The sequence below is a fragment of the Homo sapiens genome, chromosome 2 (genome assembly GCF_000001405.40).
Source record: "Homo sapiens chromosome 2, GRCh38.p14 Primary Assembly".
In the NCBI taxonomy this organism is placed as follows: domain Eukaryota; kingdom Metazoa; phylum Chordata; class Mammalia; order Primates; family Hominidae; genus Homo; species Homo sapiens.
In genome coordinates, this window is record NC_000002.12 from 221,635,354 (window position 1) to 221,654,403 (window position 19,050).

The 19,050-nt window shown below is 39.1% G+C and overlaps 1 long non-coding RNA gene across 3 annotated transcripts in view; it reads left to right on the top strand.

The window, feature by feature from the left end:
• The first annotated feature begins 2,175 nt into the window (after nt 1-2,175).
• Nucleotides 2,176-19,050, top strand: part of LOC105373899 (uncharacterized) — a 101,158-nt gene continuing 84,283 nt past the window's right edge. For 2 of the 3 annotated variants that reach the window (XR_923942.1, XR_001739235.1), the window contains exons 1-2: nt 2,176-2,244; nt 6,255-6,359. This is a non-coding gene — a long non-coding RNA (uncharacterized LOC105373899). Of the gene's footprint in view, nt 2,245-2,921; nt 2,965-6,254; nt 6,360-19,050 lie in introns of all 3 variants that reach the window. The other variant, XR_001739234.1, reaches the window with a different exon arrangement.

Sequence of the window (19,050 nt, forward strand, 5' to 3'; positions counted from 1 at the left end):
GTCAGAGTGCAATGGTGCGATCTCAGCTCACTGCAACCTCCGCTTCCTGGGCTCAAGCAATTCTCCTGCCTCAGCCTCTCGAGTAGCTGGGATTACAGGCACCTGCCACCACGCCCGGCTAATTGTGTTTTTGTTTGTTTGGTTCTTTTTTTTTTTTTTTTTGTATTTTTAGTAGAGACGGGGTTTCACCATATTGGCCAGGCTGGTCTCGAACTCCTGACCTCGTGATCCGCCTACCTCGGCCTCCCAAAGTGCTGGTACAACAGGCACGAGCCACCACACCCAGCCACATTATTCGTATTATTTGACCTGGTCGTTGTACTTCTGGGAATCTACCCTAAAAATTATCTTTGATACAGAAAAAGCTTTATGTACAGAGATATTAATCAAAGCATCACTTATGATAATTCAGAATTGGAGGCAATAGTCACTAAAGAAAGTTTGGAAATGCCATTTAATGGAACATTAAGGAGTAAAAGATAATGTATACCCAGGATTTGTAATAACATGGAAAATTGCTGATGAGTGAGTAAAAAAATCATAACTAGGGAAAAGTTGCTTTTTATAATGAAAAATTATATAAGTTATATAAACTACATATTTAAGAAGGTAAAAATACAAGCAAGTGGAAACAAAGCTTTTCCTCCCCCCTCTTGATGAGATTTGATTATAAATGTTCTTTTCTGTGGGGAAATCAGATCAACCTTGGGTTACTTAATAACAGACCCAGACCTAGTTCAAGTGTTTGTACAGGGACTCAGAGCCTCTTGGCAAACACCAATCCTGCAATGCCAAGTTCAGCCACTTTTGACTGGTGGGAGCTATTATACCTGTTTGTGCCCAGTACTCTCTGGGAATGGAAAAGAGAGGATGATGGGTAGAAAGAAAGTAAAGCCTCCTAGAGACAAAAAGCACACTGTCATCCCTTTGTCTCACTTAGTGTAAGAGCAGGTTGTACCAAGCCATAGTGGGGTTGGAAAGACAAAGCTTTGACACCTCTCCTTGGCTCTGAGTTTGTCCCAATGCACCACCTTGCTCCAAGGGCCAAGAATGCCACCTGAAGAGAAGGTACGGCTCATGTGGGGTGAAGAAAGGAGTGGCAGCTTATTTAACTGGTTTTCTCTGCAATGTTTTCCCCAGGTATACTTGTATTCCTGTGTCCAGTTCAGCTCATATTTATTAAACAACTGTTCATTTAGTCAGTCACTTATTCAGCTATATTTATTATCAACTATGTGGCATGCACTGTGTCAGGCTGATTGTCCCTGTTCTCAGTGTGGTGGGAAGTCGGACTTAAAATCTCACACAGTATTTGAACACTGACAAGACATTCAATAATTTTAAAATACTCATTAGTTTTTGGAAGTGTGATCATGTGAAAATATTTTGGGAATTTTTTTTTAAAGAAATAGTCCTTATTGTTTAGAGATACAGACTAAAGTATTTAAGGGTAAAATATAATATTGGGAGGAAGTGAGGTAGTATAAAGATACAAAGATAAAATACCCATATGTTGTGGATTATTAAAACAAGAAGAAATGGGACTTTGTTATAGTCTCTGTACTTTGTGCATGTTTGGAAATTTCTGTAATAAATTATTTTGTGAACACCCAACAACTAGATACTGTTGAATAAAAATAATTGCCCAGAAACGTGAAACACTATGAACTGAGGAACTGAGATGAGTATTTTGAAGGAAGACACTCATAGGAATGTAGAACTAGGAAAACGAATAGCAGGAGACTTGACCTGGATTGAGATATCATGGAGGCTGCACCTAGCAGCTTTTGGACTGACATGAAGAGCAAGAGATGTTAATCCAGTGAAATGATGGAGGGCCTGAAGCATTCTAAGCAGTGGGACCTACCTGTGTCCAGACCCTTAGGTGGGGAACTTGCATGGGGTCTTCTAGAATGAAATGAAAGGATGGCTAGAATATAAACAATGGCTCACATCTAGTGAGATTAGCTCTAGAGGTCCGACACAGTCAGACCTTTAAGAGGGGCTTTAGACCATCTTTAAAGTTTGATTTCTTGTCCCAAGTACAATAAGAAGTGGTTATGGGTTGGTGGTGACATAATAATAGTTACACTTTGCGAAGATTACCATGGCTACAATGAAGTAGACAAATGGAGATGGTGGGTTGGGTGGGGGAATAGAATTTGGAAGGCCTGGTAAGAGGCTATTGTAATATTGCAGGTAGGAGATCATGAGCCTCGGTGGCTTGAGTGGACATGGAAAGAGGTGGGTGGCTTTGACAAGCATTTAGAGGGTAACAGCCACATGAGTGAAGAGTTAGATATGGGAGACTAGAGAGAGAGGGCTTAAAGGATGCCTGGCCTAGCTTTTTATACTACAAAGATGAAAAACAAAAGACCACATTTTAATAAATGTTATGGTCAAGGAGATAAGCAGTTTCCACCTAATATGATGAATACTAAGGTAGAAATAAGCCCAGAGCTCCTACTGAAGCACGAAACATGTGAGTGAACTTATATCAGCCTGGGGGTCAGGAATTGCTTCCTAGGAAATACACAGTTAAGCCAAATCTACACTATGTGAATTAGAATTAGCAGGAAAAGGGAGTAAAAAAGCAAGGGCAACAGTATGAGCAAACTAGTGGAAGACATAAAAGAGCATGAAGCATGAAAACCAGAGTGAGAGAAGCCGGGTGCATAAGGAATGCAATTTAAGGAGGCACACATTCTCAGGTGTGCTCTGTATAAACTAAAGAGTGAATACCGCTTTAAATTTTGCACCCTGCACACCTTGCTTGCTTTGCTCTAATCCCTGCCCTGATGAAGTGACTACTTACTGGTGCATGGGTTTGAAGCAGAGTTTAGTAGGAGATGAGGTAGCAAGGGTGAGATAATGGAAGGTCTTGCTTTGTGTACTAAGAAGATTGGACTTTTATTTTACAGAAATAGGAAGACATCAAAGGGCATCATGCACGAAGAATTAAGGGTCAGTTTTATATTTTGGATAAATCTTTGTGATGTAGAATGAACAGAGAGAGAAAGAGAAGACCTAGAGAAGACCCAGAGATCTGTTAAGATCCTATTGCCTCATATTGCAGGGAGGAAATGGTGATGACTTGGGTAGGATGACAGTATGACAGAGAAGGAGATATATATAGATATAGATATAGATATTCAAGATATATATAGGAAAATTTCATAAAAGATGAGTCAAAGATAACTCATATTTTTCTCAGTTGGGTAACTGAGTCCATGATGCCGTTTAGTGATATTTCCTATATGCATACGTGTGTACCCAGAAAAAGACACACACACGCACGTGTTCATTTGCTTAAAAAGCCACTGTGCTATTTGCAATACTCGGCCACCATATTTTCTATTTATACTGTTCTGCCTTGAAATAAACACACACAACAAACAAAAAGCAAAAACTCAACTCATTGTCTAGTTGCTACACCATAGCTTTGTTCTTGAAATATTGCACAGAATTAAACATTCATGTGACCAGGAATATTTTTTAAGAATTTAAAATTTAAAATCAGTAGATGTTGGGGGGTGGTGTAATGACTGGCTGTATAAAAGAATCCTTTCTCTTTTTAACATGAATGACAGACTCGTGACTGTAAGCTCTGTTAGATCACATGGCATGTCCATTTTATTTATGATCATACCTCCAGCAGATAACACAGTTCCAGGTATGGAGTAGGTACTCAAGTTTTTATGAAATAAAATAATAATATTTTAGGTTGGGAAGATCTTTCTATGAAACAAGCTGGCCCCAAATTCAATAGCTTAACAATCATTTATTCTTGCTCATGTTTCTGTAGTCAGCAGAGTCAGCTGATTAAGGCTCCAAAGCTGGGGTTGGCTCCAGGCCATGGCCAGCATTCAGGTGATTGTTGTAAACATATTTCAGGCCTCTGTATTATATTTGCTAATATCCCATTGGCCAAAGTAAGCCCTATGGTAGAGGCTAAAGACAAGGGGCAAGAGGAAACATTTGACAGTAGCGGAAAGAGCTACTAGGTCACATGGCAAAGGATGTGATTGCAGAGAATAGTGAAGAGCTAGGGACAATTATTTAATATACTACTGTCCACACTCTTAGGAACAATTATTCAACTCCCTTCTACATGAAAAATAAACTTACCCCCATCCTAAGATCTCCAAAGTCTTATCTAATCATGGTATCAAATTCGAAGCCCAGGATCTCAATATCTAAAGCAGTCTAGATTTGGTTTATCTTTTTAAAAAAATGTTTTTAATTTAATTAATTAATTTTTATTGATGCAGACTATAATAAATGTACATAGTTTTGGAGGTGCATGAGATAATTTAATACATTCATATAATTTGTAAAGATCAGATAATTTCTTGGGATATTGCAGTTCTTAGGATATCTATCACCTTAAATATTTGTCTTTTCTTTCTGCAATAACCATCAAAATTTTTCTATTCTAGCTATTTTGAAATATACATTATTATCAACAATAGTCACCCTGCTAATCTGTCTAGCACTAGGTCTTATTTTTTTCTACCAAACCATATCTTTGTGCCCATTAATCAACTTCTCTTCATCCCCTTCTACTGCCTATCCTTCCCAGCCTCTTGTAACCACCAGTCTACTCATTCTTCATTAGATCCATTTTTTAGTTCCCACTTGTGAGTGAGAACGTGCGATATTGTCTTTCTGTGCTGGGCTTATTGCACTTAACATAATGATCTCCAGGTCCATCCATGTTCCTACAAATGACAGGATTTCATTCATTTTTATGGTTGAATAATATTCCATTGTGTATATATACCACATTTTATTTATCCATTTGTCCATTGATGGGCACTCAGGTGGATTCCATGTCTTGGCTTTTGTGAACAGTGCTGCAATAAAAATGGAAGTGGAGGTGTCTTTTCAATCTATTGATTTGCTTTCTTTCGTGTATATACCCAGTAGTGGAACTGGTGGATCATACGGTAGTTCTAGTTTTTGTTTCTTGAAGAACCTCCATACTGTTCTCCATAGTGGTTCTACTAACTTAGATTTCCAGGAGCAGTGTACCAGGGTTCCCCTTTCTCCATATCCTCATCAGCATTTGTTATTGCCTGCTTTTTCTGTAAAAGCCATTTTAACTGGGGTGAGAAAAAATATGCTACAATAGTAACCAAATCAGCATGATACTGACATAAAAACAGACACATAGACCAATGAAACAATAGAAAACCCAGATGTAAACCTAGATTTGGGTTCTCTCAATCTAGAGATGTATTTTTTTCACTTTCAAAAAAACTAAACCTTTTTCTGAGATATTTTGATGTATTTCATTACTTATGTATTTATTTACTTAATTTTGAGGTTATGATGGTTAATCTTATTTGTCAGTCTCACTGGGCTACAGAATGCCCACATCTTTTTTCAAACCTTATTTTGGGTGTTTCTTTGAGGGTACTTCATTCTATTTCTCTGGAGAACTCTGACTAATACAGAGATATTTTGTGATACAGTTCTAAGTATTAGTACAGGTAGATCCCATGCACCTTGTCTTAGTCTATTTGTGCTGATGTCACAAAATTCCACAGACTAAGTAAGTCATAAACAGTAAAAATTTATTTCTCATGGTCATGGAGACTGGGAAGTCCTAGATCAAGGCACTGTCTGATAATGGTCCTGGTCTTTGCTTCCAAGATGGTGCCAGTTGCTGCATCCTCCAGGGGGGATGAAAGCTGTGTCCTCACGTGGTGGGAGGAATGGAAGGGCATGGAAGACTCTCTTCAACCTCAAGCTCTGTTAGAGGAGCACTAATCATATTCACAAGAAGGAGCCCTCATGACTTACTCACCCCCCAAAGACCACGTGTCTTAATACTGTTGCATCAGGGATTAAGTTTCAAAATAACTTTTGGAGGAGATACCACCATAGCATATCTCTATTCCGTTTCCTGTAGTGGTAAGGTCTTAAAAGCCTTACCCAACCCATACATCATCCCAACCAGGATATTGACGTTAACACAATCCACTGATCTCATTCAGATTTTCCCCATTTGTCTTGCACTCACTTATGTGTGTGTTTGCACATGTTTAGTTCTACGCAACGTACAAGTTTGAGTCTCTGCCACCACAGTCAAGATACAGAAGAGTTTCATTATCAGAAAGATCAGAGATGTACTTTTGAATGGATGAATAGTGCTTAAAAGAGAAATGAGTTTTGTGGTTAGCTACTTAAGTCTCACCCTTTAACATTGTGGAATTTATCACTGAGAACTTCCTTTCTTCTCAAATCAGGAAATGTGTAATGTGAAGTTAACCTCAATGTGATGTGCCAAGGGCATGTGAAATCACAAGGAGAAAGTGCAGTATTTACTGAGTGAGCAGCTATTCCAGTCAATGGTAAGTGATTTTTTTTTTTTTTTTTTTTGACGGAATCCGGCTCTGTCGCCCAGGCTGGAATGCAGTGGCGCAATCTCGGCTCACTACAACCTCCGCCTCCCGAGTTCAAGTGATTAGTAGCTGGGACTACAGGCATCCGCCACCATGCCCGGGTAATTTTTTTGTACTTTTAATAGAGATGGGGTTTCACCATGTTGGCCAGGATGGTCTCTATCTCTTGACCTCGTGATCCACCCGCCTTGGCCTCCCAAAGTGCTGGCATTACAGGCGTGAGCCACCGCGCCCTGCCGGTAGGTGATTTTAAAATTTACTTTTACATGAGAACGGCATGGGTAGGTCAGGCGCAGTGACTCATGCCTGTAATCCCAGCACTTTGAAAGACCAAGGCAGGAGGATGGATTGAGCCCAGGAGTTTGAGACAAGCATGGCAACATAATGAGACGCCATCTCTACCAAAAATTAAAATAAAAATTAGCCAGGCACAGTGGCTCTCACCTGTAGTCCCAGTTACTCTGGAGACTGAGGTGGAAGGATCACTTGAGCCCAGGAAGTTGGTGGCTGCAGTGAGCCAAGACGGCACCACTGCACCCCAGCCTGGGTGACAGAGTGAGACCCTGTCTCAAGAATAACAAACAGATAAACAAAAAATCCAGCATGAGTGTATTATGGAGTAGAATGCAACATTTCTTTTTATCGAAAACAAGACTTCAAAGATAGGCCCTGCACATTGCAGTCATTTGCGGCCACACTTGTAGATCCTTCAAATTACGGAATCATCTTTACTGTCCTAAGAGGTACTTTGATAAAAACTTTGAGAAACACTTCTAGTTAGCTTTTCATCTGCTATTTTCCACCTCCTTATTCAGGGTATGCCTTAAGGCCAGGGACTTGGCAGTTGCCACTTTGTTATTCCTGGCAGCAGCCAGCACAAGGCACACCACGGGAGAAGCATTCAACTGATGTTGCTTGAATGGCTTTGTGCCTTGCCTATTAGGGATATAGATGATCCTCTATCTAGATCCCTGATAAGAGGGTAGAGAAACCTCAGATTCAGTCTAGACTTTGATCTACATTGCCATGTGGCCTTGTGCAAACTACTGAATGTCTCTGAGTTTCCTTGTCTGAAAAATCCAGAATACCCATTACATGAGGTTATTTTAAGACTTAAAGGAAATACTGTGCCAAGTATTCATCACAATGATACAAAGTAGGTACTCAAGAAATGAGAGCTGTTACGACAGTGATATGGTTTGGGTCTGTGTCCCTACCCAAATCTCATGTCAAATTGTAATCCCAATGTTGGATGTGGGGCCTGGCGGGAGGTGATTAGATCATGGGGGTGGATTTCCCCTTTGATGATGTTCTCACAATACTGTGAGAGTGAGTGAGTTATTGTGAGATCTGATTGCTAACAAGTGTGTGGCGCCTCCCCACTCTCTCTTCCTTCTGCTCTAGCCATGTGAAGGCTCCTGCTCCCACTTTGCCTTCTGCTATGAGTAAAAGTTTCCTGAGGCATCCTTAGAAGCTAAGCAGATGCCAGCATTGTGATTCCTGTACAGCCTGCAGAATCATGAGCCAATTAAGCATATTTTCTTTATAAATTTCCTATTCTCAGGTATTTCTTTATAGCAGTGTAAGAATGGACTAATACATACACTGATGATGATGCTGGGATGTTGATGATATTAGCTTAATCTTAATAACTAACATAAATCATGAAAGAATTGTAAAATTAATTAACAAATAAATGAGGAAAGACATTTTCAAAAATAAATTTTTTCTTGCTCAACATCAAATATCAATTTTACTCCAGCTAGTAAAGAAGATAAAACTGAAGTCTATTCTAAGTCTACTAAGACATCGTAACATAAACAAACAAAATTATCAGTATTCTCTTCCCTGGATCTAAGCACTACATGAAAATCCCAAGTCTTACTCATATTTTCTAAGTTAATGAGGAATCAGATATAATCGATGATGTTATAGAGAAAACACTAAAAATAAAACAAATATATCTTGGAGAAAGCGTTTAAACATAGCTTTGAGAAATAAAAGCCTCTAGCATCATTTTTCTCTGTCAATTTTGGTAAAAGCATTTTAGGAAGATGCTTTTTACAAGACTTATCATTATGGAAGAGTGATAATATGAAAAGATCTTCTCTCAGACCTAGAGCATCTAATGAAAATGTATAATCTTCCATTCTCAGTTCGGCAAGGAGGTCTGGGTGCCACAACCTAAAAAGGGATTTTTTTTTTTTTTTGCCACTTTCTGTATTTATTCAGCCTGACAACATCACATTTTCCATAGCCTGTGATTGGGTGCCACACTGTCCATATTATCACACCTAGGTCAGTCTTTAATCAGAAGTCTTCATTTTCAAAGTGTCTCATGTCTATGAATCCACTGTCACATTAGTGGTGGCTGGATGGTGACTTCAAGGATATCTTTAGGTCCCATAAGTCCTAATAATTTAGAGGCATTTTCCTGAAATCATGAGTACATGCTTGCATATCCATCCAGGCAGGACCTGCTCCTAGAAGTGACTATCTGCTCCGAAGAAATCCAGAACTCTCTGGGGTGAGAGCACGGGGTGTTCCTAATGAAATAAATTCACAGGTCTCAATGAATGTCAGGCATGGCCTATAAGGGGGCCTGGGTGTCCGTTAATGGCACTTATTTTCTCCACCTGAATTCTGAACCATGCAAGAGGTTTATCGTATGCCTTAGCTGTGGAGAAACAATGGCCTTCCTAATGCTGAGCTACCAAATTATAGACTTATCTGGTCACTCTCAGGAAAGATGAGGTCTCTTTGTGTCTCCCTGGAGCCTGAACTGTAAGGCATGTGGTATGGAGTAATAGAGCAGAAGCCTGTGGGATGCTCAAGACTACAAAGAAAGGGATGAGGCTGGTCTTCATGTTCCCAGGTTCTCATCCAGGTCTCACCAATCTGAGGAATCACCTCTCTCCTGTGTGAAGCTACAGAAAGAGGCCCTGGGTGTTAAGATGATGGGGCTATCTCCAGTGGAAAGAAAACCTAGGAAATGAGGGACATGTGTTCCCTCTAATAGCTTATGGCAGGGTTCATCAAGCTCAGCACTATTGACAATTTGGACCAGATAGTTCTTTGCTGTGGGGGCCATCCTGAGCATTATACCACATGTAGTAGCCTCCTTAGCCTCTCCCCACTAGACATTAATAGCACACGCCCCCGAGTCATGACAACTGAAAATGTTTCCAGACATTGCCAAATGTCCCTCTGTGGGTGGGGGTAAAATTTTCGTAGGTTGAAAACCACTGGCCTAGACTCCAGTCTTCTTTGCTGTAAACTGGTTCATTCAGAACACTTCCATTGAGCGCTTACTATGTGCCAGGCTGGCGGGGAAATGTATTAGTTTATTCTCATGCTGCTAGTAAAGACATACCAGAGACTGGGTAATTGATAAAGGAAAGAGCTTTAATGGACTCACAGTTCCACATGGCTGAGGAGGCCTCACAATCATGATGGAAGATGAAGAAAGAGAAAAAGAATATCTTATATGGCGGCAGGCAAGTGAACTTGTGTAGGGGAACTCCCCTTTATAAAATCGTCAGATCTTGTGAGACTTATTCACTATCATGAGAACAGCATGGGAATGACCCGTCCCCATGATTCAATTACCTACTGCTGGGTCCCTCCCATGACACATGGGAATTATGGGAGCTACAATTCAAGATGAGATTTGGGTGGGGACACAGCCAAATCATATCAGGAAATGTAAAAAAGATCTAGTTTTGGCCTTAAATAGCTTGCATCTAGTGGACTCACAGAGATGCGTCAAAGGAGATACTTGGTGCTACACGTGAACCCTAATGGTTCCCCAGCAGTGGCCTTGAATCACAAAAATCCTGTTTGACCATATGGAGATAGATCTGTTGTTCCTTCCGTGACAAACTGCCTCTTAGGGAAACAGATATTTTTCTACAGATCTTTCAATTTCTGTTTGGAGAATGACTACTGTATCCAGGCTTGACGTTCAGAATGTATGCCTGCAGCCCATGAAATTTGTTTTCTCTCTGAGTAATGGGGCTTTTCCACCCGGTGTCTCCATGGCATCTGTGAGATCAAAGTCATTTATTTCACAACAAATATTAAGGCCCAAACAGCTTAAACTTGACAGAAGTCAGAATCTCTAGGGAAAATGCAGAGTTTAAACAAAAATAACTCACTAAGGCCCTTATCCAGTACTTCTGAATTTTATATACCAAATATATTGAGCCATTCACGGATACGATTATTATACTTTGGATATATGTCAAATAGTCATTTTTAAAGAAGTAGCCTTCTGTTTTCACTATCTAAATTTTACGGCAGATTGTGGTGGCCTAAATGTAACGCCCTCACAGGGAAACGTTTTCTATGGAACCTTTTCCACAAAGGTGTCAGATATCTGGGGTACAAATGATAGTGAAATTTGGGATTGACTTTTTAAAAAATTATTTTAGCAGAATAGAAAGGAAAATAATGTATTTTTATAATAGTAGATCTCACATTTTCTAGGGCATAGGCCATTTTCATGAAGGATGTACTTTGAGCTTTCCTACTTTTCAAAACATAGAAACAGCACCAAGACAAATGGGAATACAGCTCTTCTTTTTAATAGGATGGTGAATTAGAGAGGGGAGAAGAATCAGAAACTTAACAGGGGTCAGTATACCTGAGTTCTAGACCCAGGTCTACTTTGTCTGTGAGATGATCTTTTATGTCATTTTCCTTTTATTACATTAAGGTTAAGAAATGAGATTCATTCTCTGAGTTTTCTGATATTAAAATAAAGGGTAAGGTAAATGATATTATTACTAATATTGAACAACTTTATTTATTTAACATTTGTTGATAGCATACTCTGCACTAAGCTCCATTCCAGGCACTGGGGCTGTGATATGATTTGGCTCACCTTAAATTGTAAAAATCCCCATGTGTCAAGGGTGGAGCCAGGTGGAGATAATTGAATCAAGAGGTCGGTTTTCCTCATACTGTTCTTGAGGTAGTGAATAGGTCTTATGAGATCTGATGGTTTTATAAAGGGGAGTTCCCCTACACAAGCTCTCTTGCTTGCCACCATAGAAGATGTGCCTTTGCAGCCAGGCGCGGTGGCTCATGCCTGTAATCCCAGCACTTTGGGAGGCCGAGATGGGCAGATCACGAGGTCAGGAGATCAAGAGCATCCTGGCTAACACGGTGAAACCCCGTCTCTACTAAAAATACAAAAAATTAGCCAGGCGTGGTGGCGGGCGCCTATAGTCCCAGCTACTGGGAAGGCTGAGGCAGGAGAATGGCGTGAACCTGGGAGGCGGAGCTTGCAGTAAGCTGAGATCACGCCACTGCACTCCAGCCTGGGGGACAGAGTGAGACTCCGTCTCAAAAAAAAAAAAAAAAAAAAAAAAAGATGTGCCTTTGCTCCCTCTTCACCTTCCCCACCATGATTATGAGGCCTCCCCAGCCATGTGAAACTGTGAGTCCATTAAACCTCTTTTTCTTTATAAATCACCCAGTCTCAGGTATGTCTTTATTAGCAGGGTGAGAACAGACTAATACAGGCCACCACTAAAGGGGTTGCTAATTTAGACAAGAAAAATACATATTCTCATGACAAATATCAAAGTTTAAAAGACTTCATAATTGTGTCAGCATTATGTGTTAAGAATCTCATATTTAAAGGAAAGTTTAGAAACCTATCCACAACCTTTAGGCATCTTGAAAAATGGAAATAGATCTCCTCCCCACCCTTAAAAGCAGAGCCACTAGAATGAGGGAGAATGAAGTCTGGACAGGTAAAGGGATGGAGCATGTACTGGTCTAGGATGCCCCAGCATTCACTTCCTCATCTTCACGCCCTCTTCTCCCAATGCTTATTCTGTGCCTCTGGGGAATACTGACATTTACTCCACCAAAGGTACAGAAGCGTGCACACACACATACCCACACACACACACAAAAGCACATACACGCTCAACATACATATACACACATGGGCCTGAGCTCCTCAAAATGGCTAGCTAAATTCATGCAGCACACTAAAGAGAGCTAAATCCATGCAACACTAAAGAGAGAGCATCACTTTTCTGAATTCAAAAGACTGGATTGCACTGAATATAATGGGTAAACAACTGAAATTTCAAACTCCAACAGCCTTAATAGACAGAGAAAGCATGGTGCACTTACTATAAAAAATAGTAACAATTATTCCCAGTCAATGATAGTGAATCTTTCCAGGATATTTTGGTTGATATTTTGGCTGATTGGACAATCCTGGAATTTAAAATGTTATTCAGTATTGAGCACAACATTTTCGGGTAATGACGGAAGCTGATCTTCCGTCTTCACTGTTTAAAGACAGGAGATTGGTGGTTAAGACTGCAGAAAAGTTATTAGGGCTGTAGTTTCACTTGTGATATAAATGAATCTCCTTTGAATGTTGAGATCCTTGAAAGTCCTCCTAAGTGGCATTTATTAATGTGCTTTATCATGTCCAGGAAATAGTAGTAGTCAGTGTGGGTGTTTCTTTTCAGGGGAATGAGAGTGTAAGAGGGGGAAAAAAGAGTTGCTCTTTCATGAATGTCTAAGAAGGGATTCTGAGAAATGCCACAATACTGGACTAACCCATTTATTTTGTAATAAAGACTAGGTATAACTCATCTTTTGGGGTTTTGTTTAATTTCGAACCCCTAACTCTATTGTTAATCCCTGTCAGTTTCCCCTGTAATTACAATCTGTTAACATTTCAAACAGACAGGAGGTTGTAAACTTTGAAATTCCGTCGGTAGGTAGAGTTGATATTATTCAGACAGGATGAATTCCACCAAGGGGGAGAAATGTGGAGGAGAGGAAACAGATGAGATACTGGGAGTGAGAATGTAATGGGAATAAATCCACAGGCCCCGAATGGCACACCTGGAACATCCCTGCTACTGCTCCAGCTTGTTCCCAGGTGATCCTCAGCACAGCCTTAGAACCTTTGGAAACCCAGGCAGCCATGACCACTCAATTATCCTGGGCACTAGAGATGAAACCTATTTCTTATTTTTGGATAGGATTTGTGAGATAAAAAGACAAGGAATCATGGTCAACTGAATCAAAAAAAAAATCTCTGGATACTCACCAGGGTAGAAGAGCCTAAAGAGCCTGACCTGAAAAACACCTTAGACATAAATTTTACAAATGAGGAAGCTGAGTTTCAAAAGGCTGTTCCTTGACAAACACCAAAATAATTGATGACAACCACAAATAGCATGTTTCAATGGCATCACCATGTATGCTGTCCCACCCATCAATCAGAAGCATGCATCTGCATTTTAATATATGCCTATAATTGCTTATTATTCAAGTTTTCTATTCAAAAAGCATTCTTGGTCATATATACTGTGAGTAATTGAGTCTCTACTATATATTGGTAAATGATTTGCATGATCTGGACCCCACAGTCCTAGCATGACATTTCCCTCTTTTCCTATTACTAGCCATTCACAGCATCCAAAGACAACAGAGTTGCTGGATCACTGCCAGGCCCCAGGCATTGAAGCCTTGCTTGCTGCAATTCTCTTTGGCTAAGTTAGGCACATACTAAAATGGATACAAGGATCCCATAGCAATTGCCTTGTAAGACACTTAAAGGCAACTGATCACAAGGTGGACAAGGGAAAGCTTTCAAGAACCCTGAAATTGAATTTGGAGTCACTAATACAGCTAGGGAATGATAGCGTGGAATGTCTCAAGGTCGCTTGCAACAGAGAAAGGGGGCCTTATTTCAAAGAAATTGCCCTGTCTGCCAGGATAAAAATGAGACACACACAGCAAAGAGAAAAGAGCAGCTGCTACAGAGCATTACCAAGGGAGAGACTGCAAAACAAATCATCAGTGGGAAGGAGAATGAGGAACACCACGAATTTCTTCCATCACTGGACAAGAAGCGCTCTCTCCTCTAATTCATAGGATAAAAAGAAAGCTGGCTCCAAATGGCCATTTAAGCCCAGTAGGGCCCTTTGCAAGAATGCGAAAGAGAGAAGATAACATGATTTTCTCCACTGTGTCAAGATGCAATGGCTACATATACCTCCTGCAGCTGAATTATAAAGGCTGGAGCGTGCTTGCGACCATTTGGACCACATGGTTCCCGCTGTCAAAAGGTACCCCCCAGAGACATCATTTTCCACTGCCTATGGATCAGACGTCCAACAGATTCCAGGAGGCACAATGTTAATAGACTGAAATTGTCTTTGCTTCTGGAGGCAAAAGTGAAGATAGGCAGGGCAAAGATTTTCTCTTGTGCTTTCTTCTAGAACTTTTATAGTTTCAGGTTTCACATTGTGTATGATCCCCTTTGAGTTAATTTTTTTATGTGATGCAAGATATGGATCAAGATTTGGATTTGAATATGGATAACCAATTGTTCCAGCACCATTTGCTGAAAAGACTATCTTTTCTTCACTAAATTGCTTTTTTAACTTTGAAAAGAATCAATTAACCCATATATGTGTGTATCTATTTCTGGACTTTCTATTCTGCTTCATTGATTTATATTGTCTATTCTTTTGCCATTACCACACGGGCTTGATTACTGTAGCTTCATAGGAACTCTTGAAATTAGGTAGTGTGATTCCTCCAACTTTGTTCTTTTTCAAAATTATGCTGGCTATTACAGTTCCTTTGTCTTACCATATATATTTTAGAATCAGCTTGCTGATTTTTACACACACACACACACACACACACACACAAACCTGCTAGATTTTTCACTAGAACTGTACTGAATTCATACATCTATATTATTTTTTTTTTAAGATAAATTGCTTCATAAATTTATTCTGATGCTTCTGGTTCAAACTCAGGGATACAGAGGTTTCTACTTTAACCTCTTCTCTGTTAAACTTGTGTCTCTTTCCTTCCACACCAAATATCCTAGTTCTCTAGGACACTGAAAGTGATAGAATTGGAACATTTCATAATTGTTCATCTAGTTTATCCCATATTACAAACATAGTCTCTGAATAATACTCATATTATAACAATATAATTACTAATATTAATTAAAAACTTTTTTGCATATGCCTTTTTTCTCCCATTTTTATAATTGTACTATATCTACATTTTCTGAACATATAGTCATCCCATTACTATAAAAAATCTGCCTTGATATTTTTTCTAAAAGACACACTCATCTATTTATTTAACTGAGTTATTCTCTGCCTCCTTCAAAAATGATTTTAAACTCCCTTAAAAAGAGGAAAATACAGTTGGGTAAAAAGGAGGAAGCAAATATGTTAACCATAATTTAAATATGCGTTATGATTAAGTGCAATATTTGGCTCAATGCATCCTAACAGCCAAATTAAAGGTAAAAATGTGACAAGTTACATAAAGTGGTATTTTTCAAATACAATTGTTATTTTTTTTAAGATTAAAGGCAGACTTTTTTTTTACATTACATTACTAGGAGACAAAAATTGAGATGTGTAATAACATCCTCAATTAGAGTTTCACAGAAATGTAAAAAAAAATTGACGTGAAAAAAGTTCAACATAATATTAAAGTGCAAATCAGTAAAACCGAGAGATCTTTCAGAGAAAGACCTTTATCTTAAACTGTTTTTTAATACTTTTAATGTACATCATGTAGCTGTTTGTCTCTTTTTATTATAGTATATATTATTACAGAAATATTTTAAATATTTATATTTAAATATATTTATACATATATATGGTACATATGTATATATTTTTGCTTTTCTAATTAGAAAGAATTTCCCACTATCAACATTATCACTAAGAACTTTAGCTGACTCTTTGAGTCAAGAAAACACTTTGAAAGTTCTACTCAGCCACAGCTTAGAAACTGCCCAACGTGCTTCACCACCAAGCTTAGGCTATGTTAAAGCAAACGTGGCATCAGCTTCAAGGGCAAGGCAGGGGAAGAAGACATTAGTTGCAGATATAATAATATGGGAAAAGGGGGTCAAAGAATGGACATTTGACTAATGGGGTGAACAGCAGGAGAAGAGTGTTAGTGACTATGAGACAGTGGATGTGGAAGGAAAGATCACAGTACCATTGACTGTCCATTGTAAAAGTCCAGCAAGACCTAAAGGAAATGAGCATGTCCTAGAGAAGTCTGAATTTGTTAACAGGAGACTAGCTTAATGGACAGTGAATAATAGTATTACTGGAAAAGGTAATCTGGATAGGAATAAGATATAGATAAATCAAAGATTGAAGTTTCCTGAATTCTCCCACACAGAGTTATATACAAATTCTAACACCACAGTATTTTCCACCTTGAATCATGCTTCATGAGTTTGCTTTATGAAAGAGCATTTCATTTACTTGATGGTGACAGCTTGCCCATTTTCAGGTGACTACATCCTTATCACCACTTGAGAGCCAGTGGGCTCCTCTCAGAAAATCGGGCTTACACAGACAAGATAGTCCACGGTTTTATGCCAAATTTCTCTATCTATCTCTTGCTACTCTCTGAGGGCATTCTGACCTCTTAATTCCTTGAGGGCCATAATTGACCAGAAACACTCTTGACTGCATCAGGAATTGAGTGGGAACTCTTGATAGGTCTTTGGTCAATCACTTAAGAAAATCCATTTCATTTAAGTCATTCCTGGAAATTTTTTCTTTTACTTAATTATGTTGTGCACCCTTTTGCTTCCCTCTCATGATATCAGGACACACAGGTTAATGTGAAAGAAGCATATGCAGTTACTAAAGAAATGAAGTTTTTCCACTGATAGGTATATGGGTTAGATTGAATATTAACACTGATTCCTCGTGCTCTTTCCTTATGACGCCTAAGTAATAAGTTATTTGCTTTCATAAATTTTTGAAATTGTATGTGATTAGTAATAAAAGGTCTGCATCAGAAAATAATATCCTTACCAACAGGAAACAGGGGTTTCAGTTGAAAAGCATGAAACATATATTTTCTTGATAAAGCTGATATGGTTTGGCTGTCCCCACCCAAATCTCATCTTGAACTATAGCTCCAACAATTCCCACGTGTGGTGAGAGGTAATTGAATCATGGGGGCGGGTCTTTCTCATGCTGTTCTCATGATAGTGAATAAGTCTCATGAAATCTGATGGTTTTATAAGGGGGAGTTTCCCTGCACAAATTTTCTCTTGTCTGTCACCATGTAAGACCTGCCTTTCACCTTCCACTATTATTATGAGCCTCCCCAGACATGTGAAACTGTGAGTCCATTAAACTTCTTTTTCTTTATAAATTACCTAGTTTTAGGTATGTCTTTATCAGCAGTGTGAAATAAAGTATAGAAAGTCTATTATATTGGAAAGAACACTGGGGCTCAGGCATTAGCTCAACCCTTAGGTCCATACCTTATGGTCACATAATATTGGATAAGTCACTCAATATCTTTGAGCCTTGTTTAACATAGAAATAATAATAATGACCTCACTGGATTAGTCGCGGTCAGATTAAATAACATGTGAAAAAGTTCTTGGTAAATGCTAATGTATTCTGTAACTGTAGTCTATCAGTATGTGTGGCTTTTTATAAAAGTCTAGGTCTGCTTTGTGATCCCAGAAATCCCCTTCATCCTATTCTGGTGTGGGGCCTGCATTCATGCTGCCTTATCTCCACAAACAGCTGGAATGAATCATTAGGAGCTGTCATTCTTCCCACCTGGGAAGAGTAACTGGCTTGTGTCTGATCCCCCAATAAGCTGTCAAGGGAGGAGGAGTCAGGAAGCCGGATGGAGAGTGAGTGACATTGGACCCACAGTCAGCACATCACATACCCCATCCCAGGCCATGATAGCTTCTAACTATGAAGAATGACAGCAAGCCAATGAGTCCTTTCATCTTCAGGGCAAGACGTTGGTTGCTTTAAGATGACGAATGTTATTTATTTGGTTGAGAGCAGAAATGATCATACACATTAATATAATTTCATCAGTTTCTGAAAGAGACCCCTGCATCCACACCCTTCCCTCCCACCACTTAAACCCGCTGGTTATGTACCAAACGTGACATTAAATAATACGTTTTTCTTTTTGCTGACAAACAAAATCAGATGCTAATCAATAGGAATTCAGTTGGCAGAGATGTCTTGCTCATCAGTGAAATTACATCTGGGTCTTGTTGGCTTGATGGTAGGAAATCCTTTTGATGAGAAAATGAAATGAAAAAAAAATGCTCTCTCTTATCATAAGAAACTATAAACAACCACAACACTCAACAATCAATCAAGCAAACAAACAGAAAACCCCTCAGTTGTTGGGGTGTTGGAAACTAATTTTATCACACTGTTGCCCCTCTCCCACAATTTAATACAAGCTATTGAGAAATAATTATACGATTTGCTTATTCAAAATTTAAATATGCTTTCTAGACGATTACTCTAAAAAAACAGCGGGAGCTCAAAGAAGGATGTCCTATTGTTTTGGGGCCACCTTGACAAGGCTGTGTCCATCAAAACTGACCCTTTCACTCATATTCAATGAGGCTACTAACCTAGCTCCATAGCTATTGTTTACCCTTTCAAGGAAACACACGAAACATCAGCATTTCCTAATAATAAGTCTCCCCAGGTGTTCTTGTTTAGGTAGAACCCCTTCATCCATCAGTGAAGGTCCATTGCCAACCTGTAGATCTAGGATAGTGTTGATGCTTTTGTTATTAATCAAGCTC